We start from the raw sequence: 15,728 nt of genomic DNA on the forward strand, positions 1-15,728 counted from the left end.
CGCCACTGCACTCTAGCCTGGGCAATAGAGCAAGACCTTGTCTCAAAAAACTTTTTTTGCCGGACACAGTGGCTCACGCCTATAATCCCAGCACTTTGGGAAGCCAAGATGGGTGGATCACCTGAGGTCAGGAGTTTGAGACCAGCCTGGCTAACATGGTGAAACCTCGTCTCTACTAAAAATACAAAAATTAGCTGGTCATGGTGGCAGATGCCTGTAATCCCAGCTACTCAGGAGGCTGAGGCAGGAGAATAACTTGAACCCGGGAGGCAGAGGTCGCAGTGTGCTGAGATCGTGCCACTGCACACCAGCCTGGGCAACAGAGCAAGTGCCGTCTCAAAAAAAAAAAAATAAATAAAAATAAAATAAAATTATGTATGATTCCATTGAGAGGGAAGAACATTTACACACAGAAAAGTGACTAGGAAGATATTCTTTAAAGGTTAATAGCTTTTTTTCTTGATGGTGGGATTTACTAGGGCTTTTTCCCCCAGTTTTGGGCCTCTCTGTACTTCTAAAATGTGAACATGTATTTACTTTGTAACAGGAAAAAACGATACTACTTATGTTTGGAAACGTTAGACTTCTAAGATAAATTTCACAATTCAGACTATTTGTTCCCAATGCAGGTAGCTTATACAGAAATCATATATTCCATTCTATGTTCTTTTGAAACTTAAGGTTTTTTCTACTTAGGGAGAGGAATTCAGTGAAGAAGGGGCTAGTTTTAGGCCACTTACATATAAGGATTGTGGTTTAGTAGAGAAGAAACAGAACCTTTTTTTTTTTTTTTTGACTGGTAAATGTGCTCAGCTCAAAACCCCAAATAAAACAAAGCTCTTAAAGACAACAAAAATATCCTCAGTCAACCCCGTGCAGCCACAAGAAAAAAAAAAAAACTAGAAGAAAAGTTAAAGGATATGTCTTTACTCCTAGATAAACTTTTCATGACCTCTGGGACAAATTAAGTTATATTAAAAAAAGAGTTTATTAAAATATTCTGAAAAAAATGCCTCTAAGACTCTCACTGTTCAAAAACTGTCTTCTATTTAGACATAAATTTCATTCTCCTTTTAAAGAAAGATCATTCGATACTTTCATTTCAAAGCATTGTTAAGTCACAAAAGCTTGAAACGTACCTTAAAATCGATAAGGGAGAATAAAACACCTTTTTTCAACCAGCCAAAAATACCATCTTGGTGATTCTCCTGCCAATCTTTTTTTATTTCCTATATGCAGATTTGGGGCCTGAATATTTAGTTCATACCACGCTGTACCATAGATGCTTGTTTTCACTTCAAGGGAGCAAAGAGAGCATGTAATTTAGACTCTAAATTGACGAAGTCCCAAAGGCCTTTTCCTAAAGTACCATTTCCTACCTGACGTTAGGTGCCCTGATGATGATAATGCTGATTCACATGCGAGGGCGCTGGCATTGTTCCCACTGCCCACACCACTGCCTTTTTAACAATCACATCATCCCAGGAGCCAGCTCCCAGGAGTTTCTTTGTCCGAGTGAGGAAACTGAGGCTTAGCAAGGTCACACTTTTTGCCGCTGCTCTGTTCTGCTGCCCACAGCTGCCACAGATGGTCTTCCGGGACCTTAAACACAGATTTTTCACACAAGCTTAGAGACAGCTGAGGAGAACAGCAAATGTTTTTGTGGGCTTACCTTCTGCAGTTGCCTCGTACAGACCTCATAGAGATACAGTGAAAAAAGATATTCCTCATGCTACACAGGAGGGAAACTGAGTCTCAGTGAGTTTATCAGATACCAAGTGCTGGGCAAACAGTAGTGAGCTCACCCTCTTCACAGAAGAACTGAACCCCTTCACGGTTCTCCAATGAGTAGAAGAGTTTCCCTGAGACATGAGCTTCCTGCCTTCCCCTACCTGCCCAGTCCCTGGGGTACCTCCTCGGAAGCCCAGGGCTCCCTGGAACATAATTTGATGTTGGTGCTCTTGCAGAAGGAACTACCATTTAATATTTATTGAGTCGGACACTGTGTTAATCCATGAGACCCACATGCCTCGAACCCCAGCAGCTGTCAGCCCAATGGGAGATCCAGGCACAAACAATGAACACAGCACAGCAGAAGCATTGCCACTCTCCTCTGAAGGGTCCTGCTCCATTCAGCAGCCCTGTTCACGGAACTTCACCCTCTTGTGTTCTGGAACCACTGTCCTGCCCCCTTCAGGGTTTGGGGGTGGTCACATCCCAGTGTTATTCCCTTTTTTTTTTTTTTTTTTTTTGGAGACAGAGTCTTGTTGTTGCCCAGGCTGGAGTGCAATGGCACGATCATAGCTCACTGCAGCCTCAATCTTCCAACTCAAGCGATCCTCCTGTCTCAGCCACCCAAGTAGCTGGGACTACAGGCGCACACCATCATGCCCAGCTACTTTTAATTTTGTTTTCAGTAGAGACGAGGTCTAGTTTTGTTGCCCAGGCTGATCTTGAACTCCTGAGTTCAAGCAATCCTCTCACCTCAGCCTCCCAAAATGTTGGGATTACAGGGATGAGCCACCACGCCCGGCCCTCCCTGCCATTCCTACCCCTGGGGTTCTGCACCATCCTTTGGGTGTGCCATGTCCTCATCCCATTCCCACCTTTGCAAATGGTCTATTTATTAAGCCCTGATTTGAATGTGGGTGGCCTGTCTGGCGCCCGAATGTGCAGCAGTGACTATTCCTGCTATACTGGTTGAGCTAAACTTGCCCTTCACAAAGACAGACTTGACGTTTCTGGCATTTGGTATAGACAGGCACTTAAAACATTCTCTTAAAGCTCAATAGACTTCTTGACTTGCTGTGTTTACTCTTCATTCATGAAGACCCGCCAGAGTAGCTCCAGCAAGCCACTCCTTTAGACTGGAGTACTCCACTCCCAGGCAGTCAGGGGAAAGATGGATTTATTCCAAGCCCCTAGTGAGTGGCTGGGAAGAGCTGATCCAGGAACCAGACAGAAGGATGGCAGCTTCACTGCTTCCTAATGCCCTTGGAGCATCCTTTCTCAGCATAGATTCGATCTCACAGATCAGGCACCCCTACAAAATAACACATTCTAAAGCCAGAGATGTGGGATGTTTGCATTATGTCATGTTCCAGGCTGTCCATTTCAGACCATGAATTCATTCATTAAGCACTTAATTGTTGAGTGCCTACTGTGTGCCCAGCACCTGATTCTTTTTATCAGGCTTGTGGAATGGTACCTTAGCAAAATAAGTCCGAACCTTCATGGATATAAGACGAGATCAGGTGCATTCAGGGTGGTATGGCCGTAGACGTCCTTCATGAATATATTCAAATCAAGTGCTTTTATGATAATGTTCCTCACTGTTTATGTGTGTGTGTGTGTGTGTGTGTGTGTGTGTGTGTGTATTTAAATATATTTAAATTGTCCTTCCCTCAAGGGCATTGACTTTCCAATTTTTTAGTGGTTAGCCATAGATCATTCCTTTCAACTGGACCCCTTCACGGTTCTCCAATGAGTAGAAGAGTTTCCCTGAGACATGAGCTTCCTACTTTCCTCTACCTGCCCAGTCCCCAGGGTACCTCCTCCAAACCCCAGGGTTCCCTGGAACATAGTTCGATGTTGATGCTCTTGCAGAAGGAACTACCATTTAATATTTCTTGGGGTGGACCAGGCGCAGTGGCTGACACCTGTAATCCCAGCACTTTGGGAGGCCGAGGTGGGTGGATCACCTTAGGGTCAAGGGCTGGAGACCAGCCTGACCAAGATGGTGAAACCCCATCTCTACTAAAATTACAAAAATTAGCCAGGCGCAGTGGCGTGTGCCTGTAATCCCAGCTACTTGGGAGGCTGAGGCAGGAGAATTGCTTGAACCCAGGAGGCGGAGGTTGCAGTGAGCCGAGATCATGCCAATGCGCTCCAGCCTGGGCGACAAAGAGAGACTCCATCTCAAAAAAAAAAAAAAAATTTATTGGGGCGGACACTGTGCTAACTCATGCAACTCACATGTGTCACCCGGGGTTCTGTCAACCTTTTAAGTTACCTGGGCTGTGAATTCCTCCCCTACTTAGAGACTCTTGCTTCTTTCTCTGGCCCCTTTTTCTCAGCAGATGTGTTGGTCTGTGATTTCTACCCTAATCTCTCTTCTGGACAGGCACCTTTGGCCTCCCTAAGACCCAGTGAGCTCCCTCGACTCACCCCCACCCACTGTGTGTGCTTCTGTCTGTCCGCCGAGCAGCCACGCCACTGGAGGAAGTTCCGGCCTCTGCCATCTCCATAGCCATTACGTCCCCACTCACCCACAGGGAGGGGCTGGCCTGTGCCAGACCACAGAAACTTCCTTGTTTGCCGATTTTTTTTTTTACTGCACAAGCATTGTTAATGTGTTCTCCCTTCCAAATCCTTCCAGAGCCCAACCCACACTCTCCCTTGGCCCATTCTAGAAGCGTCAAACATATTAGACGCATGCGTCTTCCTCTGTAGTTGACATTCTCCTCCCCTGACTGTCCACCCTCTTGTTTTCCTCCAAGAGGGCCACGTCTTTCAGATGCTGCAACTGGTCTTGCACACCTGAAACTCACCTGATGTTGATCACTCTCTTTTTTTTTGAAATAGTCTCACTCTGTCACACAGGCTGGAGTGCAATGGCGCAATCTCGCCTCACTGCAGCCTCCACTTCCCAGGTTCAAGCGACTCTCCAGAGTGGCTAGGATTACAGGCGTGCACCACCACACCTGGCTAATTTTTTGTATTTTTAGTAGAGGTGAGGTTTCGCCATGTTGGCCAGGCTGGTCTCGAACTCCTGACCTCAGGTGATCCACCCGCCTTCCAAAGTGCTGGGATTACAGGCGTGAGCCACCGTGCCTGGCCACTCCCTTTTTATTTTTTTCATTTTGTTTTTCTTCTTTCATGGAGCCCATAGGTTTCTTCTCTCCTTAAGAACCTTCTCTCTCTAATCCCCTTGTCCTGGCTCCTCATGGGCCGGCTCCTCAAGCAGACTCAGAATCTAGATTCCTTAATTTCTTGTTCACCATGGCCCAGACTTGTCTTCTCTCTCTTGCCAAATTGTTTGAGTTCCTGATTCTCGCAATACCTTTTCCCACTCTTGTCTAAGTGGAGACATTATGTTTAAGGGCACAGTCTTTAATGTCAACTGGATTGAGGTTCTAGGGCACACACTACCACCAAACACTGAGACCTAAGTCAAGTTACATAGCCTTGCCAAGCCTTCTGCATTTGTCAGGGCAATTAATGTAACTGTTACAGCCACTCAGTGGCTTAACCCAGTAAAGGTTTATTTCTTGGTCATATCACAGTCCAGTGAGGCTTGGGTGGTTTTCCTAGGCAGCTCGCTTCCAGTGACCCAGGGATCCAGGCCTCTTCCACCTTGTAAGGTTTCGGCATAAACAGTCAAAGGACATCATCAGAGATATACTTTTAGAAGTTGGCTCTGGCAGCATTGTTTGAACCAATCGCCATGAGCAGACAAAGGAAGAAAGAGTGGATGCGGAGCTATTGATCTTACTGTTGTTCTTTTTTTTCTTTCTTGAGAAGGAGTTTCACTCTTGTTGCCCAGGCTGGAGTGCAGTGGCATGATCTTGGCTTACTGCAACCTCCACTTCCCAGGTTCAAGCGATTCTCCTGCCTCAACCTCCCAAGTAGCTGGGACTACAGGTGTGTGCCACCACACCCAGTTAATTTTTGTATTTTTAGTAGAGATGGGGGTTTCAACATGTTGGCCAGGCTGGTCTTGAACTCCTGACCTCAGGTGATCTGCCTGCCTCAGCCCCGCAAAGTGCTGGGATTACAGGCGTGAGCCACCGCACCCGGCCCTTACTGTTGTTCTTGACTAACTTCTCCCTCTCTCTGTGTTCAAGTTTTTACCAGGTATTACTGCTTCCTCTATGCCCCTGTGAGGTATTTCTGACTCTAAATGCCCACCAATCTATATTTTTAAATTTCCTATAATGCTATTATTAGCTGATTCCTTGCTGCCAACATCTGTGGTCTCATTTAATCCTAAAATTTCTGGAAGAAACACTTTCTTGGAAAAAAGGCCTTAATAGTCCATTTTTACCTTTAAATTCTTTAATATATTTGACATACTCAAAATAATATGTGTAACACTTATGTAGGTTGTAAAAGGAGAATAATATAGTGCATTACACCCCACAGAACTAGAATCCTACAAATAACTTGGATCTACTTATGTTTTTCTCCTCTGTCCTAGCCCTGTCCCTTTCAGTGGTAAATGCTATGTAGAGATTTGTATTTATACAAATATGTTACACATATACTTTTAAATAACTGTATTATTTAGTTTTTTGGCTAATAAAAATGGTGTTGAGGTATTGTAATATAATAAGAAATATATATTTTTGTCTTCATTTGGCTCCTGGCCAGAGATCCTAAAACCTTTGTAATTTCCTAAGTTATAAGTGCAATCAGAACATCTTTTGTTATAATATTTAGATTTTGTCCTGGGCTCCTGAAATAGCTCCAGAATGATGAAGATGAAAGGAACGTCTTTTGTTATTCATTAAAATTAGCTCCTTTTAACCACACCTGAGTTTACGTAGATGAATGAATTTTGGAAAGCCCCTAATGATGGGGGGCTGGTTGTCAAGGGAATGGATCATGTGACTAGAGGGCTGGAACTTAAACCTCACACCCACCCCCTATCTCCCCAAGCTGGAGAGAGAGGCTGGAGGTTGTTGGGTCCATCACCAATGGTCAATGACTTAATCAACCATGCCTATATCATGAGACCTCCATAAAAGCCCTCAACAATGGGGCTCAGAGACCTTTCAGCTCAAGGACTCCATGGAGATGCTCAGTGGGTAGAACCTTTAGGCCAGTGGCAGCGACTCACATCCCTGTATTTTGGGAGGCCAAGGCAGGTGGATCACCTGAAGTCAGAAGTTCAAGACCAGCCTGGCCAACATGGTGAAAACCCATATCTACTAAAAATACAAAAAATTAGCTGGGCATGGTGGCAGGCGCCTGTAATCCCAGCTACTCGGGAAGCTGAGACAGAGAATTGCTCGAATCCAGGAGGCAGAGGTTGCAATGAGCCAAAATCGCGCCATTGCCCTCCAGTCTGGGGGACAGAGTGAGACTCCATCTCAAAAAAAAAAAAAAAGAGAGAGTAGAACCCCCAGCAAGGGCATGGGAGCTCCATGCCCCGTCCCCAAACCTTGCCGTGTGCATCTCTAACATTCGGCTCCTCCTGAGTTGTGTCCTTTTATAATAACTAATAATCTTGTAAGTAAACTGTTTTCCTGAGTTCTGTAAGCCAGTCTTGCAAATTCTGGAACCCAAGAAGAACCCCTGATTTATAGGTGGTCAGTCAGAGGCCCAGGCTTGCGATTGGCATCTGATGAGGGGCTGGGGGGTAGTCTTGTGGGACTGGGCCCTTAGCCTGTGGTATCTGTACTAACTCCAGGTAGTCAGTGTAAGTTTTCAGCATAAACAATCAAAGGACATCATCAGAGATTAATTGCAAGAAAATATTCTCAAACCTTATATCTGATAAGGGGTTAATATTCAAATATGCAAGGAACTTATACAACTCAACTGTAAAAAGCAAATAACTCAGTTAAAAAGAGGGCAAAGGACCTGAATAGACATTTCTCCAAGAAAGACATAAAAATTTAGATAAATTGTAGGACACACAGTTGGTATTTTCAGGAAATGGAGAATTATTTCCTTTAGGTCTATACCCAGAAGAGGGATTGCTGGGTCATATAGTAGCTCTATTTTTAATTTCTTTAGGAACCTTCATGCTCTTTTCCATAATGCCTGCACCAATCTACATTCCCACCAATAGTGCAGATGGGTTTCCTTTTCTCCACACCCTCTCCAAACACTTGTTATTTCTTGTCTTTTTATTAGAAACCACCCTAACAGGTGTGAGATGGTATCTTGTTGTGGTTTTGATTTGCATTTCTCTGACAATTAGTGATGTTGGGCACCTTTCCATATAGCTGTTGGCCTTTTTTTTTTTTTCTTGAGATGGAGTCTTGCTCTGTTGCCCAGGCTGGAGTGCAGTGGTGCAATCTCAGCTCACTGCAACCTCCGCCTCCCCGGTTCAAGCAATTCTCCTGCTTCAGCCTCCCTAGTAGCTGGGATTACAGGCACACGCCACCACACCTGGCTAATATTTGTGTTTTTAGTAGAGACAGGGTTTCACCATGTTGGCCAGGCTGGTCTCGAACTCCTGACCCCAGGTGATCCGCCCACCTTGGCCTCCCAAAGTGCTGGGATTATAGGCGTGAGCACCATGCCAGGCCTGTTGGCCATTTTTATGTCTTTCTTGGAGAAATGTCTATCCAGGTCCTTTGCCCACTTTTTAACTGAGTTATTTGCTTTTTTCAGTTGAGTTGTATAAGTTCCTTATATATTTGAATATTAACCCCTTATCAGATATAAGCTTTGAGAATATTTTCTCGCAATCTGTAGGCTGCTTTTTCATTGTGTTGATTGTTTCCTTTATTGTGCAGAAGCTTTTTAGCTTGATGTGGTCCCACGTGTTTATTTTTGCATTTGGTGTCCTAGCTAATAAATCATTGCCAAGACCAAGGTCAAGGAGTTTTCCCCCTGGGATTTCTTCTAGGAGTTTTATGGTTTCCGGTCTTATATTTGGTCTTTAATCCATTTTGTGTTGATTTTTGCATATGGTGGAAGATAGGGATCAATTTCATTCTTTTTCATGTGGATATTTAATTTTTCCAAAACCCCAACACCATTTATTGAAAAGACTATCCTTTCCCCTTAATGTCTTCTTGGCCCCCTTGTTGAAAAGTTAGTTGATGGTATATCCTTGGGTTTATTTCTAGGCTTTCTATTCTGTTCCATTAGTCTATGTGTCTGCCTCTATGCCAGTATCATACTGTTTTGATTACTATAGCTTTGTAGTAGATTTTGTGAGTAAGTAGTGTGATGCTTCCAGTTTTGTTATTTTTGCTCAAGATTGCTTTGGCTGTTCATGGTCTTTTGCAGTTCCATATGAATTTCAGCATTGTTTTTTCTATTTCTGTGGAAAATGTCGTTGGAATTTTATAGGGATTGCATTGAGCCTGTAGATCACTTTGGGCAGTATGAACACTGTAACCATATAAATTCTTCCAGTCCATAAGCATGGGATACCTTTTCATTTATCTGTGTCTTGCTCAATTTCTTTCATCAATGTGTGTGTAGATTTCTGTGTGCAGATCTTTCACCTCTTTGGTTAAATTTATTCCTAGGTAATTTTTTATGCCATTGTAAATGGGATCTCGGCTCACCGCAACCTCTGCCTCCTGGGTTCAAGTGATTCTTCTGCCTCAGCCTCCTGAGTAACTGGGATTACAGGCGTGTGCCACCGCGCCTGGCTAATTTTTGTATTTTTTTAGTAGAGATGGGGTTTCACCACATTGGCCAGGCTGGTCTTGAACTCCTGACCTCAGGCGATTCACCTGCCTTGGCCTTCCAAAGTGCTGGGATTACAGACATGAGCCACCATGCCCGGCCTACCACCTTGACCATTTCTAAGTGTACAGTTTGGTCGTGTTAAGTATATTCATATTGTTGTGCAACCAATCTCCAGAATTTTTTCATCTTGACAATCGCAACTCAAAACCCATAAAACAACTCCCCATTGCTCCCTCCCTTAGCTCCTGGCACCCACCATTCCACTTTCTGTCTCTGTGGATTTCACTACTCTAGGTCCATCATATAAGTGGAATCACACAGTATTTGTCTTTTTGTGACTGGCTTACTTCACTTAGCATAATGTCTTCAAGGTTCATCCAAGTTGTAGTATGTGTCAGTTCTTAGGAGTCGGACTTGGTCAGATGGGTGGTGGGGGATCTTAAGCAGGCAGGGAGTGATGAGATTAGAAAGACCACAGTGGAGGGCAAAGGGGAGAGAACCATTTGAAGGGGAGAAAATGGAAGGAAGGAGTCCAGTGAGTCCTTTTTAAGGCTGAATGATACTCCATCCTATGTATATACCACATTTTATTTATCCATTCATCCATCAAAGGACACTTGAGTTGCTTCCACCTCTTGGCTGTTGTGAATATGCCACTATGAACATGGATGTGAAGCCATGGTGTTTTTTTCCCTTGCTTCTGGTTCCATTTTAGTCTCCTTCTTGAATCTCACAGCTGTGGGTTCTCATGCACTCATGTACCTCACTGCTAGTGAATCCTTCTCCTTTCCTCCTGGATAATCCACTTCAAGACTTTCTTCCCGTGAGCAGCTAGCTCCAATGCCTGCTAGCAAAGGCACCAGGAGTAGGCTCCAAGAGCCAAGGAGGAGCTTCAGAAGGGATGGAGGTTATAACCTTCCCTTTGTTCATTCGTCCCATAATTCTTTGAGCATTTACTGAGCATCAGGACCAGCATAAGTGCTGGGAGCAGGAGCTCCCTGTCTAGTCTGGATAGCGACAAATGAGCAAATAAGTAGAGCCATGAGGTGAGAGCAATACACAGAACAGGAGAGGCAGAGAGAAGGAAACCACTGACTGCCGCCTGGGAGATGGTACAACTGAGAAGACAGGGGAGAAGGAAGTATTTCCTAGCAGGCAGAGGAGCATGTGCAAAGATAAAGAGATGTCAAGAGTCACAGCCTGGCTTTCTGGGGCTGCAGTGAGACCTGCAGGCTGCGACACAGGCTGGGGTGGGAGAATAACGGCTGTGAAGGAGCTAGGAAGGTAGAAAAGGCAAGTCATATGGGGCCTTGTGCACAGTTCTGAGGAGTCGGACTTGGTCAGATGGGGGGTTGGGGATCTTAAGCAGGCAGGAAGTGATGAGATTAGAAGGGGCACAGTGGGCCGGGCACGGTGGCTCACGCCTGTAATCCCAGCACTTTGGGCGGCCGAGGCGGGTGGATCACCGGGGGTCAGGAGTTCGAGACCAGCCTGGCCAACATGGTGAAACCCCGTCTCTACTAAAAATACAAAAATTAGCCGGGCATGGTGGCAGGCGCCTGTAAGCTACTTGGTCGGCTGGGGCAAGAGAATTGGTTGAACCTGGGAGGCAGAGATTGCAGTGAGCCAAGACTGCACCACTGCACTCCAGACTGGGTGACAGAGCGAGACTCTGTCAAAAAAAAAAAAAAAAAAAAAAAAAGCACAGTGGAGGGCAAAGAGAGAACCATTTGAAGGGAAGAAAATGGAGGGAGGGAGTCCAGTTACTAGACTTGCTGCAAAACTGACAGGGCTGGAACTGAGGCTATGGCAGGAGAGTAGGAGGAGATGATAGGTGCAGACGTGTGGAGTCAAAGGTGGCTGGAAAGAGTAAAGACAATCATTGCACATGGCGGAGTGCCGGAGTGGCCAGCGCTGAAGGCAGAGATCCTGGCCTCGGCTCTCAGTGGTTTGGTAGTGGCAGGGATGGACTTGGGACTGAATGGAGTGTGCAGAAAGGAGAAGAGAGCCCAGACCCAGTGCATTTTGCAGGGCCCTGTGCAAAATGAAAATGCAAAGCCCCTTGTTCAAAAATATATCAGAATTTCCACCAGGCACAGGAATGAGCTTACTCTGGGTGGGCAGGCCTGCAGAGGGCACCAGGATAGAGGAATCAGAGACCACCAGGGTGATGAGCACCAGGGAGCTGAGGTCAGTGAGAAATCCCTCAATAGGGGCATTTAGGCACCGGAAGTTCCAGAGATAGGGAAGGATTAGGATCACCCCTCATCTCTTGGATGGGATGGTGATAAGTCCATGTGATCTCCTCAAAGGGATCAGTTTCGGGGTGTGTGTGGGACAGGGGCATATTGAGGAGGGGAGGATACAGGATGGGAGGAGAGATGCAGGGGAGGCATAGAGATCCTTTCTAGAAGGCTGACTGAAGGAAAAGCATAAGTCTGGAGAGAGGTCCTGGGAACTGGGGAGAGCAGTTTTTGTTGTTAGAGGGTAGAGGAGTTTGTCATCTATAAGACGTGAGCAGACATGCACAGGACTTTGTGTGGCTGGGGTCCCTGCCCCTGTGCCTTCATACTCTCCCTGACCTATGCTTCTTCACAGCACCAGCCCTTGGCCTCTCTGGGCATGAACCCCCCACAGGCATCTCCAGATTTGAGCCTTTTCTTCAAAATCTCGGCCCACCTCAAATGCAGGACAGTTTTCTTTTGTTTTTTTTTTTAATGACTTTATGATCGTGTCCTTCAAACTGCCTACTCCTAACAACTTCCCTCATCTCTCAGTAGCACCACTGTTTCCCCAGCCCTGCAGCTTAAGATCTGAAACCATCCTTGGTCGGTCCCTCACCCACCCTTTCATGGAGACTGGGGTAGTGGGGCTCAGAGATCAACCTGCAGGCCCCGCTCTTCTCTAGCTGTGTGAGGTTACTGAACCTCTCTGTGTCTGCTGTCTCAGCCACAAAATTGATGTGTGTGTGTGTGTGCATGCACAAGTGTGTGTATTACAAACAGCCTATCTCATAAATAATTATCTGTATTTATTGGGCTCCTACAGTGGGCCAGGTGTGGGAACTAGATGATGACCAAAACAAACATAGTTTCTCACTATACAAGTGCTGAGAGCAGTGGCTGACATCATGCTACCTGTTATATTATAAGTGAATGGAACTTTGCAAAGTCTCTAAAATTCTCTCCTCTTCCATTCCTTGCTCTTTAAGCCTGTAACTCCCCTCAATGTACATTCTTAAAATTGCTTCCAAACTGCTCTCCTTGCCTTTGGTTCCCGTTTCTCTCCCAGGGAATCCTCTACACTGTCCCCTAAAGACAATAGTGTCAGGCATTTCTTTAGGCTTCCTGTTGCTTGCAGAGTAAAGTCTGAATTCTTTAGCTAAGCCTTTGAAAGTGTCTCTGTCTTGTTCCAGTTCACATTTCCTACTCATTCGCTGTGGTCGCCCCGCCTACTCCCGCCTTTCCAGCCTGTGGCCAGCCCCTGCAGGGGCTCCTAGCCCACTGCCTTAGTGTTCATGCTTTCTCTCTTGCCTGCCTCTACCCAATTTCTGCTCTTTCTTTCATGATCCAGCCCCTCTGCTCCCACGCACAGCGATCTCTCCCGCCTCTGACCTAGCACCTCTTGTCTGCACCACGTCCTGCTGACAGTGATTCACTGTTTCCACTATCAGACACCAGCTCTCACATGTGTGTTTTGACTCTCTAGCTCTATTGCAAATCCTGTGAAAGGATGCTTTCATCTGGGTAAAAAGCAAGGTAGGCTTTTTATTTATTTATTTATTTATTTATTTATTTATTTATTTATTTATTTGAGACGCAGTCTTGCTTGGTCGCCCAGGCTGGAGTGCAGTGGCACAATCTCGGCTCACTGTAACCTCTGCCTCCCAGGTTGAAGCAATTCTTGTGCCTCAGCCTCCCGAGTAGCTGGGACTACAGGCACATGCCACCACACCCGGCTAATTTTTGTATTTTTAGTAGAGATGGGGTTTTGCCATGTTGGCCAGGTTGGTCTCGAATTCCTGACCTCAGGTGATCTGCCTGCCTCCGCCTCCCAAAGTGCTAGGATTACAGGCGTGAGCCACTGTGCCTGGTCCTCTTTTTACTGTTTTTTTCTGATGGTACTTAGCACAGTGCCTCATCCACCATAGGTGTTCAACTGATATTTACTGATTTTAATGATGTTGTGCCAGGGCACCGAAAAACAAATCTTCATGTCAATTAGTTTATTTCATTCATTCATTCATCAGATATTTACTTGCCTTCTACAGTGGGCGAGGTGTGAGAATTAGATGATGAACAAAACAGAAATAGTCTCTCCTGGAGCTTATGTTCATGTAGAGGAGATTGATTCTCAAAATAAACAAACAAATAATATATTTCAAAGCATGGTAAAGGTCGTAAAAGAACCAAGAATCTTCATTCAATGTTCTTCATATTTTAACCAGTGCAAAATGAAAATGCAAAGCCCCTTGTTCAAAAATATATCAGAATTTTGACCGGGTGCGGTGGCTCACACCTGTAATCCCAGCACTTTGGGAGGCCGAAGCAGGCAAATCACTGGAGGTCAGGAGTTTGAGACCAGCCTTGCCAACATGGTGAAACCCCATCTCTACTAAAAATACAAAAATTAGCTGGGCATAGTGGCATGCGCCTGTAGTCCCAGCTACTGGGGAGGCTGAGGCAGGAGAATTGCTTGAAGCAGGGAGGCAGAGGTTGCAGTGACTGAGATCGTGCCATTGCACTCCAGCCTGGGCGACAGAACAAGAATCAGTTTCAAAAAAAAAAAAAAATTCAAGATGGCGCCAGCAGAGCATTAAAACCAGCTCTGGGACTTCTAGGACAGGATCATGATGCTGGCTCTGCCCATCTTGGGTGCTTTAATGAGACAGAAAATAAGCAGAGAAACTCTCCATTTGATTTGAATCCAGCTCAGCATATTTATTTACAGAGAATGCTGTAGGCTATGTGGTGGCCCTGTGTGGGATGCAACCTGAAGTTCTGGGTGTTTCCTGCCTTTCAGATTGCTTGTCTTACTCAGCTTTGCAAGTCCTATCCCGAAGGTGCTATGGGAAGCAGAGATGCAAAATCATCGTCAACAATCACCATTTTGGAAGCCCCTGTTTGCCAGGCGTGAAAAAATACCTCACTGTGACCTACGCATGTGGTAAGAACACACCCCCGACCAGCTGCCTGATGACACTGCCTCTTTTGGGGGAGGGTGGTGACCATGTGAACGGCAGGAGTTTGCCCAGAACAAGCCAAACACTGCTCCTCCTGAAGCTGTTTGGTCATCCCAGATACCCGAGAGCCCTTTTTTTCTTTCTTATTCTTGTTTATGATATTCATGTCAGATAAGCAATAGAATTTTCTTTGGTCAAAATTTGTGTAAAAGCACCTTTAGCAATCAGATTGGCAGCCAATGGGGAGGGTGGAGAAGGAACAACCAAATAGGGGTAAACTGATGTCACTGAGACCAGTGATTTTCATCTGGGAAAATTTATTGGGATGTCATGCGAGTTCACAGTCGAATTATGTGTCTCCTATTTAACCTTCCAGTTCTGCTTTTAGGCCCTAAATGACTAACTCTCTGTACTGCCAACAGCTATTTTATCTACATGCCCACAGTGTTGAGTCAACAGATCAAATGCTTACCCTAAAACAATAAAAATTGTTACACGACAGCATTACTTTGTTTTCCTGATGTCTTTAAATGATAAAATGAAATGCCTTCTTCGTTTAGATTCTAATTTCATAAAGCCACGTAAAAGCAAATCAGCAGTTTATTATTTTCTGAGGATACTGTGGATTTCCAGTGTGTAATCCTAATGTGTTGACTGCCTTCTTTTTGTTGGAAATGAGCATAAAAGCAAATGGAAAGCAAAGAGCATTATAATTGAAGAACCTGATACCTATTCTCTTGGAAATCGCTTTTTCCCCTGCCAAACATTCCTAGCCATTTTATGTCTGCAACAGCTTTTTTGAGATATAATCCACAGAGCATACAATTCACCTGTTACAGCATACAAATCAGTGGTTTTTAGTATATGCACAGAATTGTGCTACCATCACCACAATCAGTTTAAGAACATTCGCATCCCCCCAAAAGAAACCCTGTATCCCTTAGCAGTCAGCCCACCAAATCCACCCATTCATTACACCTGCCCCATCCCCAGGCAACCACCCATCTACTTTCTGTCTTTATGGATTTGCCTCTTCTAGACATTTCCTAGAAATGGAATCATACAATGTGTGGTGCTTTGTGTCTGGCTTCCTTACTTAGCATCTGTTTTCAAGGTTCGTACATGTTGTAGCATGTCTCAGTACTTTATTTCTTTTTGTGGCATC

The 15,728-nt window shown here is 45.1% G+C and overlaps 1 protein-coding gene across 17 annotated transcripts in view, besides 3 other annotated features; it reads left to right on the top strand.

The window, feature by feature from the left end:
- Positions 1-15,728, top strand: part of EVA1C (eva-1 homolog C) — a 103,665-nt gene that overhangs the window by 68,901 nt on the left and 19,036 nt on the right. For 16 of the 17 annotated variants that reach the window (NR_135467.2, NR_104472.2, XM_017028420.2 and 13 more), the window contains one exon: positions 14,404-14,547. Coding sequence is in view for 14 of the 17 variants with exons in the window: in XM_017028420.2 (XP_016883909.1) it covers positions 14,404-14,547 (144 nt within the window). In the remaining 3 variants the exon portion in view is untranslated. Of the gene's footprint in view, positions 1-14,403; positions 14,548-15,728 lie in introns of those variants that run through there. The other variant, XR_001754885.2, reaches the window with a different exon arrangement.
- Positions 10,309-10,818: an enhancer, noted in NCBI's record as "H3K4me1 hESC enhancer chr21:33863242-33863751 (GRCh37/hg19 assembly coordinates)". NCBI's record gives its function as "activates a minimal SCP1, AML or CMV promoter by ChIP-STARR-seq in primed H9 embryonic stem cells {active_cell/tissue: H9 hESC(primed)}" and the evidence as "EXISTENCE:reporter gene assay evidence [ECO:0000049][PMID:30033119]".
- Positions 12,679-13,268: an enhancer, noted in NCBI's record as "H3K27ac hESC enhancer chr21:33865612-33866201 (GRCh37/hg19 assembly coordinates)". NCBI's record gives its function as "activates a minimal SCP1, AML or CMV promoter by ChIP-STARR-seq in primed H9 embryonic stem cells {active_cell/tissue: H9 hESC(primed)}" and the evidence as "EXISTENCE:reporter gene assay evidence [ECO:0000049][PMID:30033119]".
- Positions 14,123-15,322: an enhancer, noted in NCBI's record as "CDK7 strongly-dependent group 2 enhancer chr21:33867056-33868255 (GRCh37/hg19 assembly coordinates)". NCBI's record gives its function as "activates an origin of replication core promoter dependent on BRD2, BRD4, P300/CBP, MED14 and CDK7 cofactors, with strong dependence on CDK7, by STARR-seq in HCT116 cells {active_cell/tissue: HCT116}" and the evidence as "EXISTENCE:reporter gene assay evidence [ECO:0000049][PMID:35650434]".

Source organism: Homo sapiens, chromosome 21, assembly GCF_000001405.40.
Source record: "Homo sapiens chromosome 21, GRCh38.p14 Primary Assembly".
In the NCBI taxonomy this organism is placed as follows: Eukaryota; Metazoa; Chordata; class Mammalia; order Primates; family Hominidae; genus Homo; species Homo sapiens.